Raw genomic sequence first — 15,623 nt, forward strand, 5'->3', positions numbered from 1 at the left:
TCACCTGAGCTCAGGGAGGTTGAGGCTACAGTGAACCGTGATTGTGCCACTGCACTCCAGCCTAGGTGACAGAGTGAAACTTTGTCTGAAAAAAAAAAAAAAAGAGAGAGATAGTGTTCATAAAGTTCCTGGCACATAGTGCGTATCCAGTACTGTACATGGGATGTGTGTGTTTGTGTTCTAAGTGTTTAGGTTACACATTTATGTTGCCAGTCTTGGATTCATCTTATATACTAGGTGGTCTTGTTCTTTGTATTTAGCAGCAAGAACTCACAGTTTTGGTACATATTTTTTATTTTATTTGTAAATTAAACTTTTTTTTTTTTTTTGAGACGGAGCCTCGCTCTGTCACCCAGGCTGGAGTGCAGTGGCGTGATCTTGGCTCACTGCAACCTCTGCCTCCTGGGTTCAAGTGATCCTCCTGCCTCAGCCTCGTGAGTAGCAGGGACTACAGGCACATGCCCGGCTAATTTTTTGTATTTTTAATAGAGACGGGGTTTCACTGTGTTAGCCAGGATGGTCTCGATCTCCTGACCTCATGATCCGCCTGCCTTGGCCTCCCAAAGTGCTGGGATTACAGGCTTGAACCACCACACCCGGCCGAAATTAAACTTTTTACAGCATGAATCAGGCATTTTATAAGCATTGCCCCCTAAATGTACTATTTTTATTTTATACCTGCTTAATACTCCTTTGCTATCTATAATAGGAAGAAAATTTAACATTATGTTTTGAAAAAGAAAAATGATAGGAAAGAATTGAAAGCTTAGAATTTCACTCTTGGCTTATAACAAAATGCTGAGCAGACAATGCAGTACTTTAAAAAGATATATTATTACCCTTTTTGCATCTTGCTTAGGCCAGATAGCAGCAAATGAAGCCCTGAAGAAGGATTTAGAAGGTGTTATCAGTGGGTTGCAAGAATACCTGGGGACCATTAAAGGCCAGGCAACTCAGGCCCAGAATGAGTGCAGGAAGCTGCGGGATGAGAAAGAGACATTGTTGCAGAGATTGACAGAAGTCGAGCAGGAGAGAGACCAGCTGGAAATAGTTGCCATGGATGCAGAAAATATGAGGAAGGTATGATTTTTTTCCTGCCTATTTTCCGTAGCTTCATAAGTAGATAATGTCCAAATTAAGTTAGTTGGAGGAGGTAACAGTACATTTTTAAGTGGGAAAAAGTATTAGTGGCTATATGGTGATTTTTTTCTTTTAACAGTTGGGCTTTTTTTTTTCTTCTTTAGCTGTGATACATTTGGAATTATTATTTTTTCTTTGCTCAGAAAAGGAAGATTATTTAAGCTGCATTTCTATCCCTGAAAGGTATTGTTGCCAAATAACTCTAAAGAATATGAAATGGTAGCTATTACAAATATTGTATTAAATGCTCATATTTTATTTGTGCTGAAAAATTGAGCACAGAATGGTTTTTCTTAGTCTTGTTGTTACTGGATAATTTTAACATTATTTTATAGCTAACAAAACAGACATATTGTTTTAAATTATATCCTTATGAACCTGATTTGTTGCACATTCGTTTGGAGATTTCCCTTGCTCTATTTTAGTTGTTTGGAAAATGTTATCATACATGAGAACTAGAGATTTCCAAACTTCTTGTTCAGTAGAGCTGGCTCCAGAAATTGAATTAATATATTTTAATATTATGAAATATCTCAGGCATATTTAAAAAATCACAAATAATATTTAACATCATGTACTGACAACCCAGCTTAAGAAATAAAACATTATAGGTACATTTGAAATCCTCTGTCTACTCCTTTCCAGAAGTAACAAAGTTCTGAATATGGTTATTATTTCCCTGCACCTCTATTCTTTTATTATATATGTAAACATCCATAAGCAATATATAGTATTTTCCTTGATTTTAAGACTTATACAAAATGTATCATAGTGTACATATTTGGCCACTTTCTTTCTTCCTTCATGTTTATGTTTTTGTTTGTTTGTTTTGGTTTTTTTTTGAGATGAATTTTCGCTCTTGTTGCCCAGGCTGGAGTGCAGTGGCGCAATCTCGGCTCACTGCATCCTCCGCCTCCTGGGTTGAAGCGATTCTCCTGCCTCAGCCTCCCGAGTAGCTGGGAGTACAGGCATTCACCACCTGCCCGGCTAATTTTGTATTTTTAGTAGAGATGGGGTTTCTCCATGTTGGTCAGGCTGGTCTCGAACTCCCGACCTCAGGTGATCCGCCTGCCTTGGCCTCTGAAAGTGCTCGGATTACAGGTGTGAGCCACAGCGCCTGGCCTATGTTTTCGAGAATTATGCACACTGATAGATGTAGTTCTACTTTGTTCATTTTTACTGATATATGTACCATCCTGCTTTATGGACATACCACAAATTTATTATTTATTCCTTCTCTTTTTGGGGTGCATTTAGGTGATTTCCAGTGTTATGCTATTGCAAACAATGCTGAGCATAACATTCCTGCACACATCTTGAACACATGGGGACTATGCTCAGAAGCAGAACTGTGGGTCAGAGTATGTCCATCCTTCATTAAGTTCAGTAGATATTGTCAAATTACTTTTCATAGTGAGTTTATCAGCTTCTACTCCCACCAGCAATGTGGGGGCTACCATTCTTGCCACATCCTTGCCAACGCTGTAGTGTTGTCCAACTTTTTTTTAAAGCTTATATTTTGAAATAACTCCAAACTTGCAGGAAAGTTGCAAGAGGAATACAAATAACTCACATTTGCCTTTCACCGAGAGTCACCAATTACTATTTTAACACATTTGCTTTATCTCCTCATATGTAATTTCTACATGATTTTATATACTTTTTAATTATTATTATACTTTAAGTTCTAGGGTACATGCAGATTTGTTACATAGGTATACATGTTTCACGTTGGTTTGCTGCACCCATTAACTCGTCATTTACATTAGGTATATCTCCTAATGCTATCCCTCCCCCCTCCCCCCACCCCACGACAGGCCCCGGTGTGTGATGTTCCCTGCCCTGTGTCCAAGTGTTCTCATTATTCAGTTCCTACCTATGAGTGAGAACATGCGGTGTTTGGTTTTCTGTCCTTGTGATAGTTTGCAAAGAATGATGGTTTCCAGCTGCATCCATGTCCCTGCAAAGGACATGAACTCATCCTTTTTTATGGCTGCATAGTATTCCATGGTTTATATGTGCTGCATTTTCTTAATCCAGTCTATCGTTGATGGACATTTGGGTTGGTTCCAAGTTTTTGCTATTATGAATAGTGCCGCAATAAACACATGTGTGCATGTGTCTTTATAGTAGCATGATTTATAATCCTTTGGGTATATACCCAGTAATGGGATCGCTGGGTCAAATGGTATTTCTAGTTCTAGATCCTTGAGGAATCGCCACATTGTCTTCCACAAAGGTTGAACTAGTTTACACTCCCACCAACAGTGTAAAAGCATTCCTGTTTCTCCACATCCTCTCCAGCATCTGTTGTTTCCTGACTTTTTAATGATCACCATTCTAACTGGTGTGAAATGGTATCTCATTGTGGTTTTGATTTGCATTTCTCTGATGGCCAGTGATGATGAGCATTTTTTCATGTGTCTGTTGGCTGCATAAATGTCTTCTTTTGAGAAATGTCTATTCGTATCCTTTGCCCCCTTTTTGATGGGGTTGTTTTTTTCTTGTAAATTTGTTTAAGTTCTTTGTAGATTCTGGATATTAGCCCTTTGTCAGATGAGCAGATTGCAAAAATTTTCTCCCATTCTGTAGGTTGCCTGTTCACTCTGATGGTAGTTTCTTTTGCTGTGCAGAAGCTCTTTGGTTTAATTAGATCCCATTTGTCTATTTTGGCTTTTGTTGCCATTGCTTTTGGTGTTTTAGTCATGAAGTCCTTGCCCATGCCTATGTCCTGAATAGTATTGCCTAGGTTTTCTTCTAGGATTTTTATGGTTTTAGGTCTAACATGTAAGTCTTTAATCTATCTTGAATTAATTTTTGTATAAGGTGTAAGGAAGAGATCCAGTTTCAGCTTTCTACATATGGCTAGCCAGTTTTCCCAGCACCATTTATTAGTGATCCTTTCCCCATTTCTTGTTTTTGTCAGGTTTGTCAAAGATCAGATGGTTGTAGATGTGTGGTGTTATTTATTTCTGCAGTCTCTGTTCTGTTCCATTGGTCTATATATCTGTTTTGGTACCAGTACCATGTTGTTTTGTTTACTGTAGCCTTGTAGTATAGTTTAAAGTCAGGTAGCGTGATGCCTCCAGCTTTGTTCTTTTTGCTTAGGATTGTCTTGGCAATGCAGGCTCTTTTTTGGTTCCATATGAACTTTAAAGTAGTTTTTTCGAACTCTGTGAAGAAAGTCATTGGTAGCTTGATGGGAATGGCATTGAATCTATAAATTACCTTGGGCAGTATGGCCATTTTCACGGTATTGATTCTTCCTACCCATGAGCATGGAATGTTCTTCCATTTGTTTGTGTCCTCTTTTATTTTGTTGAGCTGTGGTTTGTAGTTCTTGAAGACGTCCTTCACATCCCTTGTAAGTTGGATTCCTAGGTATTTTACTCTCTTTGTAGCAATTGTGAATGGGAGTTCACTCACGATTTGGCTCTCTGTCTATTATTGGTGTATAGGAATGCATGTGATTTTTGCACATTGATTTTTGTATCCTGAGACTTTGCTGAAGTTGCATATCAGCTTAAGGAGATTTTGGCTGAGACGATGGGGTTTTCTAAATATACAATCATGTCATCTGCAAACTGAGACAATTTGACTTCCTCTTTTCCTAATTGAATACCCTTTATTTCTTTCTCTTTTCTGATTGCCCTGGCCGGAACTTCCAACACTATGTTGAATAGGAGTGGTGAGAGAGGGCATCCCTGTCTTGTGCCAGTTTTCAAAGGGAATGCTTCCAGTTTTTGCCCATTCAGTATGATATTGGCTGTGGGTTTGTCATAAATAGCTCTTATTATTTTGAGATACGTGCCATCAATACCTAGTTTATTGACAGTTTTTAGCATGAAGGGCAATTGAAGTTTGTTGAAGGCCTTTTCTGCATCTATTGAGATATCATGTGGTTTTTGTCATTAGTTCTGTTTATGTGATGGATTATGTTTATTGATTTGTGTATGTTGAACCAGCCTTGCATCCCAGGGATGAAGCCGACTTGATCGTGGTGGATAAGCTTTTTGATGTGCTGCTGGATTCGGTTTGCCAGTATTTTATTGAGGATTTTCACATCGATATTCATCAGGGATATTGGTCTAAAATTCTCTTTTTTTGTTGTGTCTCTGCCAGGCTTTGGTATCAGGATGATGCTGGCCTCATAAAATGAGTTAGGATTCCCTCTTTTTCTATTCATTGGAAGAGTTTCAGAAGGAATGGTACCAGCTCCTCTTTGTACCTCTGGTAGAATTCAGCTGTGAATCCATCTGGTCCTGGAGTTTTTTTGGTTGGTAGGCTATTAATTATTGCCTCAATTTCAGATCCTGTTATTGGTCTATTCAGAGATTCAACTTCTTCCTGGTTTAGTCTTGGGAGGGTGTATGTGTCCAGGAATTTATCCATTTCTTCTAGATTTTCTAGTTTATTTGCATAAAGGTGTTTATAGTATTCTCTGATGGTAGTTTGTATCTCTGTGGGATTGGTGGTGATACCCTCTTTATCATTTTTTATTGCATCTATTTGATTCTACCCTCTTTTCTTCTTTGTTAGTCTTGCTAGCGGTCTATCTATTTTGTTGATCTTTTCAAAAAACCAGCTCCTGGATTCACTGATTCTTTTGAAGGGTTTTTTGTGTCTCTATCCCCTTTAGTTTGGCTCTGATCTTAGTTGTTTCTTGCCTTCTGCTAGCTTTTGAATGTGTTTGCTCTTGCTTCTCTAGTTCTTTTAGTTGTGTTGTTAGGGTATTGATTTTAGATCTTTCCTGCTTTCTCTTGTGGGCATTTAGTGCTATACATTTCCCTTTACACACTGCTTTAAATGTGTCCTAGAGATTCTGGTATGTTGTGTCTTTGTTCTCATTGGTTTCAAAGAACATCTTTATTTCTGCCTTCATTTCATTGTGTATCCAGTAGTCATTAGGAGCAGGTCGTTTAGTTTCCATGTGGTTGAGTGGTTTTGAGTGAGTTTCTTAATCCTGAGTTCTAATTTGATTGCACTGTGGTCTGAGAGACAGTTTGTTGTGATTTCTGTTCTTTTACATTTTTTGAGGAGTGCTTTACTTCCAACTATGTGGTCAATTTTGGAATAAGTGAGATGTGGTGCTGAGAAGAATGTATATTCTGTTGATTTGGGGTGGAGAATTCTGTAGATATCTATTAGGTCTGCTTGGTGCAGAGCTGAGTTCAATTCCTGGATATCCTTGTTAACCTTCTGTCTTGTTGATCTGTCTAATATTGACAGTGGGGTGTTAAAGTCTCCCATTATTATTGTGTAGGAGTCTAAGTCTCTTTGTAGGTCTCTAAGGACTTGCTTTATGAATCTGGGTTCTCCTGTATTGGGTGCATATATGTTTAGGATAGTCAGCCCTTCTTGTTGAATTGATCCCTTCACCATTATGTAATACCCTTCTTTGTCGCTTTTGATCTTTGTTGGTTTAAAGTCTGTTTTATCAGAGACTAGGATTGCAGGCCCTGCTTTTTTTTGCTTTCCATTTGCTTGGTAGATCTTCCTCCATTCCTTTATTTTGAACCTATGTGTGTCTCTGCACATGAGATGGGTCTCCTGAATATAGCACACTGATGGGTCTTGACTCTTTATCCAATTTGCCAGTCTGTGTCTTTTAATTGGGGGCATTTAGCCCATTTACATTTAAGGTTAATATTGTTATGTGTGGATTTGATCCTGTTGTTATGATGCTAGCTGGTTATTTTGTCCGTTAGTTGATGCAGTTTCTTCCTGGCATTGATGGTCTTTACAATTTGGCATGTTTTTGCAGTGGCTGGTACGGGTTGTTCCTTTCCATGTTTAGTGCTTCCTTCAGGAGCTCTTGTAAGGCAGGCCTGGTGGTGACAAAATCTCTCAGCATTTGCTTGTCTGTAAAGGATTTTATTTCTCCTTCACTCATGAAGCTTAGTTTGGTTGAATATGAGATTCTGGGTTGAAAATTATTTTCTTTTAAGAATGTTGAATATTGGCCTCTACTCTCTTCTGGCTTGTAGAGTTTCTGAGAGATCTGCTGTTAGTCTGATGGGCTTCCCTTTGTGGGTAACCCAGCCTTTCTCTCTGGCTGCCCTTACATTTTTTCCTTCATGTCAACCTTAGGGAATCTGACAATTATGTGTCTTGGAGTTGCTCTTCTCGAGGAGTATCTTTGTGGTGTTCTCTGTATTTCCTGAATTTGAATGTTGGCCTGCCTTGCTAGGTTAGGGAAGTTCTCCTGGATAATATCCTGAAGAGTGTTTTCCAACTTAGTTCCATTCTCCCTGTCACTTTTCAGGTACACCATTCAAACGTAGATTTGGTCTTTTCACATAGTCCCATATTTCTTGGAGGCTTTGTTCATTTCTTTTTACTCTTTTTTCTCTAAACTTCTCTTCTTGCTTTATTTCGTTAATTTGATCTTCAGTCACTGATACCCTTTCTTCCACTTGATCAAATTGGCTACTGAAGCTTGTGCATGTGTTACGTAGTTCTCATGCCATGGTTTTCAGCTCCATCAGGTCATTTAAGGTCTTCTCTACACTCTTTATTCTAATTAGCCATTCGTCTAATCTTTTTTCAAGGTTTTTAGCTTCCTTTCAATGGGTTCAAACATCGTCCTTTAGCTTGAAGAAGTTTGTTATTACTGACCTTCTGAAGCCTACTTCTGTCAGCTCATCAGAGTCATTCTCCATCCAGCTTTGTTCTGTTGCTGGTGAGAAGCTGCCATCCTTTGGAGGAGAAGAGGCGCTCGGTTTTTAGAATTTTCAGCTTTTCTGCTGTGGTTTCTCCCCATCTTTGTGGTTTTATCTACCTTTGGCCTTTGGTCTTTGGTCTACCTCCAGATGGGGTTTTGGTGTGGATGTCCTTTTTGTTGATGTTAAGGCTATTCCTTTCTGTTTGTTAGTTTTCCTTCTAACAGTCAGGTCCCTCAGCTGCTGGTCTGTTGGAGTTTGCTAGAGGTCCACTCCAGACCCTGTTTGCCTCGGTATCACAAGTAGAGGCTGCAGAACAGCAAATATTGCTGCCTAATCCTTCCTCTGGAAGCTTCTTCCCAGAGGGGCACCCGCCTGTATGATGTGTCAGTTGGCCCCTACTGGGAGGTGTCTCCCAGTTAGGCTACACGGGGGTCAGGGACCCACTTGAGGAGGCAGTCTGTCCGTTCTCTGAGCTCAAACACTGTGCTGGGAGAACCACTGCTCTCTTCAGAGCTGTCCTACAGGGACGTTTGAGTCTGCAGAAGTTTCTGCTGCCTTTTGTTCAGCTATGCCCTGCTCCTAAAGGTGGAGTCTACATGTAGAGGCAGAGGTCTTGCTGAGCTGCGGTGGGCTCCGCCCAGTTCGAGCTTCCTGGCTGCTGTGTTTACCTACTCAAGCCTCAGCAATGGTGAACGCCCCTCCCCCTGCCAGGCTGCTGCCTCCAAGGTCTATCTCAGACTGCTACACTAGCAGTGAGCAAGGCTCTGTGAGCATGGGACCTGCTGAGCCAGGTGTGGGATATGATCTCCTGGTGTGCTGTTTGCTAAGACCATTGGAAAAGCACAGTATTTGGGTGAGAGTGTCCTGTTTTTCCAGGTACTGTCTTCTGTGAATGTACGGCTTCCCTTGGCTAGGAAAGGGAAATCCCCCGACGCCTTGCATTTCCTGGGTGAGGCGATGCCCTGCCCTGCTTCGGGTCGCCCTCCATGGGCTGCACCCACTGTCCAATCAGTGCCAATGAGATAAACCAGGTACCTCAGTTGGAAATGCAGAAATCACCCGTCGTCTGCGTCGATCACGCTGGGAGCTGCAGACCAAGCTGTTCCTATTTGGCCATCTCGGAACGGGATTCAATTTTATATATATTTTTATACAGATTTTTTTTCCTGAACCATTTGGAAATCAGTTGTAGACATCATGCTCCTTTGCTTCTAAATATTTCAGTATGTATTTCCTATGAACAAGGACATTTTCTAACATAAACACAGAATAATTATCAAATTTAGGAAATTCAGTATTTTATCAGACTTCATGTTTGCCAGTCTGCTGAGCTTTAAAGGACTTCTTTCCATCTTTCTATTGTGAAGATGTTTACAGTTACAAGAAAGTTGAACAAATAGTTTGGTGAACATCTGTGAACCTCTTGGATTCAATAAATATTTTGATTTATTTATTTTCTCTTTCTCATAGACACATACTTTTTTCCTTTGCTCATTAGAAAGTTGTAGATATCATAACATCATCCCTTCAACACACATTTTTTTAAGAGCATTTTCCTGCATCACTACGATATCATTATTACACCTAAGAAAAATGACGGTAATTCCCTAATGTCCTCTAATATCATTATTATTTTTTTTTTTTTTTGAGATGGAGTCTTGCTCTGTCACCAGGCTGGGAATGCAGTGGCATGATCTTCGCTCACTGCAACCTCCGCCTCCCAGGTTCAAGTGATTCCGCTGCCTCAGCCTCCTAAGTAGCTGGGACTACAGGCGTGTGCCACCACGCCTGGCTAATTTTTTTGTGTGTGTGTTTTGGTAGAGATAGGTTTCACCATGTTGGCCAGGATGGTCTCAATCTCCTGACTTCGTGATCCACCCGCCTTGGCCTCCCAAAGTGCTGGGATTACAGGCATGAGCCACTGTACCCGGCCCTAAGGTCCTCTAATATCTGAACCATATTCAGATTTTCTTGATTGTCCCAAGAATGTGTGTGTGTGTGCACATGCGTGTGTGAAATCCAGGCTGGTATTCTGTAGATTGAACCACGTTCTGGGTTTGACTGATTGTTTCCTCATGGTGTGTTTAACTTGTATCTCTATGTTCTATGTAAAATAGTATCTTAAGTTAACTGCATTTTCCCCTGGTTACTGGAGAGGCTGATCACCTTTCATTTGCTGTTCAAGTTTCCTCTTGAGTGAATTCCCTATTCTATTTTTTGTTGAACTGTCTCTGCCTTTTCTTAAAGATTTGTAGGAATTCTTTACATATTCTGGATAATAATCTTTGGTTGGTTATATGTAGTATCTATATTTTAAACAAGCAGCCCAAATGATTGAATTGCCAAGTGGTTTTTGGACAATTCTTTTGTAGAAGTTCTCATCGTAGAATCCTCCTCTTTAATCTGTAATAGTTTGATCCCAAGTAAATAGATGAAAGAGATAAGGTTTAATCACAAAACACAAATGGACTAAAATGAATCAGAACCATGGTATGCTAATAAATATGTACTTATATTCTTGTTAGCACTCATTTAAGGTACTCTTATCATCCTTAATATTAGAGAGTGCCGGTCCCATTTTGTTCTTCTGATAAATGAACATGCTATGGTTTAATAGAGAGAGTATGGGCTTTGGAGTCGGAGATCTACATTTGTATGCTGACTATCCTTTTTCTAGCTACATAGCCCTGTGCAATTTACTTAGATATTCATTCTACAATTCCTCATCTGTAAAACCGCAAGTTGCCTTATACAGTTATTGTGAAGATACAATGAAATAATGAATATGAAAACATTTTGTCCAACATCAGATGAAAAATAAGCATTAAATCTTATCCTACTCTTTTTTTCCTTCCTTTCTTCCTCCTTATGTTTTTAGACTCATAAGTATCACAGAACTGGTCCCTTTGAAAAACAATATGTTGGGAGCTTACTGACTTTCTTGATTACATTTAGCCAGGGTTTTGTTTTCCAACCAGGATATGCACAACCTGAGGCTTCGTCATATTGCTACTGAAAACTTTGTGGCAGGCATCAGTAGCTGGCCAGCATTTGGTTTACAGTGCTCAAGTTACTTATAATGCCTTGCAAATGCTTAAGCAGCACAGTGAGGGTTCCATAGTTAAACCCACTGAATCTTTCTAGGAGCTTGCAGAGCTAGAAAGTGCCCTCCAAGAGCAGCATGAGGTGAATGCATCTTTGCAGCAGACCCAGGGAGATCTCAGTGCCTATGAAGCTGAGCTAGAGGCTCGGCTAAACCTAAGGGATGCTGAAGCCAACCAGCTCAAGGAAGAGTTGGAAAAAGTAACAAGACTTACCCAGGTAAGTAGGAGCATGAAGCCAACTGCAAACTAAGGACCCTGTGCCTTAAGATATCATCCTTCTTTTATTTATGTCTTAATTTAAAATTAAGCGTTTTTTCATACAATATATATGGAGTGATGGGAAAGGCAGAATTTTGGAGTCAGACATTGTGAGTGCTAATAACTACCCCTGTGTGAACACGGGCAAATCAGTTCATAGCTCTGAGCCTCCCAGCCTTTTCCTCCTGTGTAAAATGGCTTATGGGGAAGATAAATGAGATAATGGACATGAAAGCACCTGACAGTTGATACTCAATAAATGCTAGTTTTTCCTTCTTAGAACAGGTTTAAGGACTTTTTTTTTTGAGACAGAGTCTTGCTCTGTTGCTAGGCTGGAGTACAGTGGCATGATGACGGCTCACTGCAACCTCCGCCTCCTGGGTTCAAGTGATTTTCCTGCCTCAGCCTCCTGAGTAGCTGGGACTACAGGTGCGCGCCACCATGCCTGGCCAATTTTTTGTATGTTAGTAGAGATGGGGTTTCACCATGTTGGTCAGGCTGGTCTACAAACTCCCGACCTCAGGCGATCCACCCACCTCAGCCTCCCAAAGTGCTGGGATTACAGGCATGGGCCACCGTGCCTGGCCGAGACCTCTTTTAGGTTGATGATAAGTTGTAGTTTGCTGTCTCCTTTTAGGGTTGGTTGAAAGATCCACTAGTTTAAATTATACTTGCAAGTTACAGAAAACATATCCAATAAATATTTATTGATTGGCCATTGAGGGCCAGGTACTGTGGATTCTCTAGGGAAAGCACAGACATGGTCACCATCCTGTGGAGCTGACAGATCTCTGATTGGTAAACTTTAGTCCAGCAAGTGAAACAGGTATGGAAGAAAGAAAGGGACAGGATTCTTTGGCCAAGGAGGAAGTAGTCAGGGAAGACCACCCTACAGAAATGATGTTTCAGCTGATGGCTGATGGATGAGTAGGATTTGGCCACGCAGAGGGGACAGGGTGAAAGGAGTAAAGGTAAGGTATTTGTATTCTAGGCAGAGAGGTGAGGAGAGAGAGCATATAGTACATTTGAAGTGCTGAACGTATGCCTCCAGGATGCCAGGAGCAGGGAGAGGAGTGAGGAAAGAGAATGAGAGGTAAAGGCAGAGAGGCAGGCAGAGGCCAGTTGTAATATATTCTTTATCAGATTAAAAATACAATTTATTAGCCAGATGAGCTGCATCTTCTTTCAGGAAGCCCACCTCAACCTTTCCTTTCTGCCTGCTGAAAATCTGGGTTCAGGACTCTACTTTGGTTTTCCTATAACCTGTGCACAGTAAAGGTATTTATCATGCATATGATGATCATCTGTTTAGATGCTCCTAGATGATCTGTTTGTTTTACCCCAGCTAGACTCAGAGCTCAGTGAATGCCCAAATTGTATCTGTTTGTTTCTGCTTTTTCTGTGCCTGGCATATGAGAAGCGTCAATATGTGCCTATTTGATGAAAATGAAATAAATAAGATATTTTGAATCTCAGGAATGCATGTAAAAATAATTCATATGGTTAGAAAAGGAACTAGAAATATATCTGGTTTATTATAGTAATTATGTATATTTCTTTACTTATGAGATATCAGATCATCACTTGACAGTTGTCAGGATTGTATTTCTCGAGTACCGAGTTTTGTAGAAGTATAGTTGACAAGATCAGAGTCTCAGAAATCAGGAGGTTTTAGGAAAACAATTAAAATAACAGTAAATATTTTAAAATAATAATAAATAAAATTTCTAGATGGCATTTTCCTTAATAAATTCTCCTCTTTTCAAGCCAGACTGTACTAGCTTGAAATACACTGTCCTTTGTACTTTGATTGGCTTTTATTTTCTTCTCATAAGTCTTGACAAAATTATTTTAAGAGCCTGGCCTTTTCACCAATTCACTTGGTATTGAAAGGGACATTCCCCCTCCCTCAGCACCAAGACTGCCAGGATTGGTCTTCAAACCACACATTGAGAATATGAAGCATAACAGATCTCCTGTCTCTGATCTGAAGATCTACAGATCTCTGATTGGTAAACTTTAGTTGCATGAACTCACTTGTGATGCTTGATAAATACAGATTCCTTGGCCCCACCCACTCTAGAGATTCTGATCCAGAATCTCTTTTCTGAGATAGAGTTTAGGTGTCTGCATTTTTAACAGACATACCTAGTGTTGATACAGTTTTTTTGAGGACCACAGTTTGAGAAATACTAGTCTAAGGGAAAGGAGAGCAATAATTGTTGGATCACTTGCAGAACTTTTAAAGGTAGGTGCCTCGGCCCACCCCTGAAGATTCTGATTTGGTGTATTTGGGCTGAGCTGATTCTGATGCTTACTCCTTCTTAAGTGTTAATAATAGTTTAAGGATTGTGTGAAAAAATTATCTTTGGTTTTTAAATTTGGGAGTACAAACATAAAATTGAGTTGTAAAACTATAGCTAGCAAGGGATTGTGTGTATATGTAAATTTATTTGTGCCTTTTAAAATCATAAATTATTGCTGTTTTACACTTTCATGTCATTGCTTCCTATGGTGACAGTTAGAACAATCAGCCCTTCAAGCAGAACTTGAGAAGGAAAGGCAAGCCCTCAAGAATGCCCTTGGAAAAGCCCAGTTCTCAGAAGAAAAGGAGCAAGAGAACAGTGAGCTCCATGCAAAACTTAAACACTTGCAGGTAGAGATTTGTTGTTTTAGAATACATTCTTACACAGAACACCCAAAGATGATGATATCTTTAGTCAGGCACTTAGCAACCTGCTCTAACATGTAGTAAGCAATTTGAATTACTAGAAAAAAGGGAATTCTGGGTGGAGCAGCACCATAGCTCCTGTTCTCTTGTGACCATTGTTTTAAGATTATTATTTGTGAATCTCCTTTTGTTTTTATGATGGTGCAAAGAGATAGAGGCAGTGTCAGTAGTAAACAATATACTGTGTAAACTCATGGGCAAAAGCAGTATCTTGCTTTTCTTCTAAAAGCAGATTTGTCACCAGACCAAACTAAAAGGATCAGATTGGTGCATCCTCTTCCACTGAAATGTCTTTGTAATTATCCAGGAATTTAACTAGAGTGAGTTGCAGTGGGATTTCTTATCTGTAAATAGTTTTCACTACCCTCTTCTCGGAAAGGATGCTATTAAAAATGTCATCATTTTTTATTTGTGGGAATGTATGTCAATATTTTTATAGCTGTTCTCACAGTAATCTGCTGAACAAACTGCAGGAAAAACAGGTGGATAGGATTTTTCAGATAATTAAACTCTCGAAGAAGACAGATGTCTGAACAAACAAGTACCTGAATCATCACTCAGTTCTCCAAATCTGTGAGGTTGCGGGCCTCTTGGCTGGCTGAGATGGTAGCTGTTATCACCAGAAATAAAAGGGCAGAGTTTATGTGGCTTGGAGGAAGGGTTCCAAAAAAAACTACGTAGGGGGATTTGAGAGAAATAAGACTAAACTCACCCAAATGTTCTCTTCTTCTAACACTTCAAATATTTGTTCCTTGAAGTTTAAAGAAATCTAATAACCTGGAATTTAATTTTTACTGCTCTCAGTTCCACTTCTGAAGCAAATATCATAAAAGATATACATGTTTTCCATTACTATGTGAGGTGTGTGTGTATGTTGGGTCTTACTTGAGTTATCATTTTCCATTTTTAGTATAGAAATTTGCATATAACACAAAAACAGAATAGCTTATGACCCTTATTTACCCATTGCCCAACCTAAACAGTTGTCAACATTCATTGTTTCATTTTGTCCACCTCTTTTGTTGCTGGAATATTTTAAAGAAAAATTTCATACATCTTTCTTTCACCTGCAAATACTTAAGTGTACATCTCTTGCAGAAAAGGACTAATATAATATTCTTCAGGGGGCTTCTCCAAAGTAGAAAGTGAAGTCAACTTTCTAGAATGCTGACACGTGTTGTGGGACTACCTTAGTTAGAACTAGATTCTTTGATTACTTGGCCAACTAACCTCCTGAGTACAAGTTAAACCCACTCTACATGTCTTTGTCAGAAATCATTTAGTTGCAATGAACCAAAACCTACTCACACTAGCTCAAGAAAGGAGACAGCTTGCTAGGAACCAGAGCTGCTCTGCCTTTCATGTTGATATAGGGGCTCTCTCATTTCTCTTTTTCCATCTCTCCGAGCATTGTATGTGGCCCAGCATAGACCCCAGCCCTGATTTAACATATTTTCAGGTCCAGCATTTATATAGGCTTGCTGTACTGAATCTTGCTTCAAATTATGGAGAGAATGAGAACCTATTTTCTGGCTAGTTGATGTGTTGACTGGCCTCTAGTCAGATGATCTATGGCCAGGATTAGATAGTACTACAGAAAGGGCTGCCTTGGGGCAATGGGCATGGACAGTTTACAGATAAAGAGGACTCCAGATGGAACAGGCACTTGAAAACATGTTAATTGCATTCTAAATTCTTCATTTCAGTTAACATTGTTACACTGAG

At 39.6% G+C, this 15,623-nt stretch overlaps 1 protein-coding gene across 43 annotated transcripts in view; it reads left to right on the forward strand.

Annotated features, from left to right (window-relative positions):
• The window catches only part of CNTRL (centriolin), a 102,656-nt gene that overhangs the window by 49,902 nt on the left and 37,131 nt on the right, over positions 1-15,623 (forward strand). For 37 of the 43 annotated variants that reach the window (NR_163191.1, XM_047422667.1, XM_047422671.1 and 34 more), the window contains 3 exons: positions 860-1,080; positions 10,950-11,126; positions 13,689-13,823. Coding sequence is in view for 42 of the 43 variants with exons in the window: in XM_047422667.1 (XP_047278623.1) it covers positions 860-1,080; positions 10,950-11,126; positions 13,689-13,823 (533 nt within the window). In the remaining variant the exon portion in view is untranslated. The remainder of the gene's footprint in view (positions 1-859; positions 1,081-10,949; positions 11,127-13,688; positions 13,824-15,623) is intronic. The other 6 variants (XM_047422677.1, XM_047422681.1, XM_011518170.3 and 3 more) reach the window with 1 other exon arrangement.

This window comes from Homo sapiens, chromosome 9, assembly GCF_000001405.40.
Source record: "Homo sapiens chromosome 9, GRCh38.p14 Primary Assembly".
Classification (NCBI taxonomy): Eukaryota; Metazoa; Chordata; class Mammalia; order Primates; family Hominidae; genus Homo; species Homo sapiens.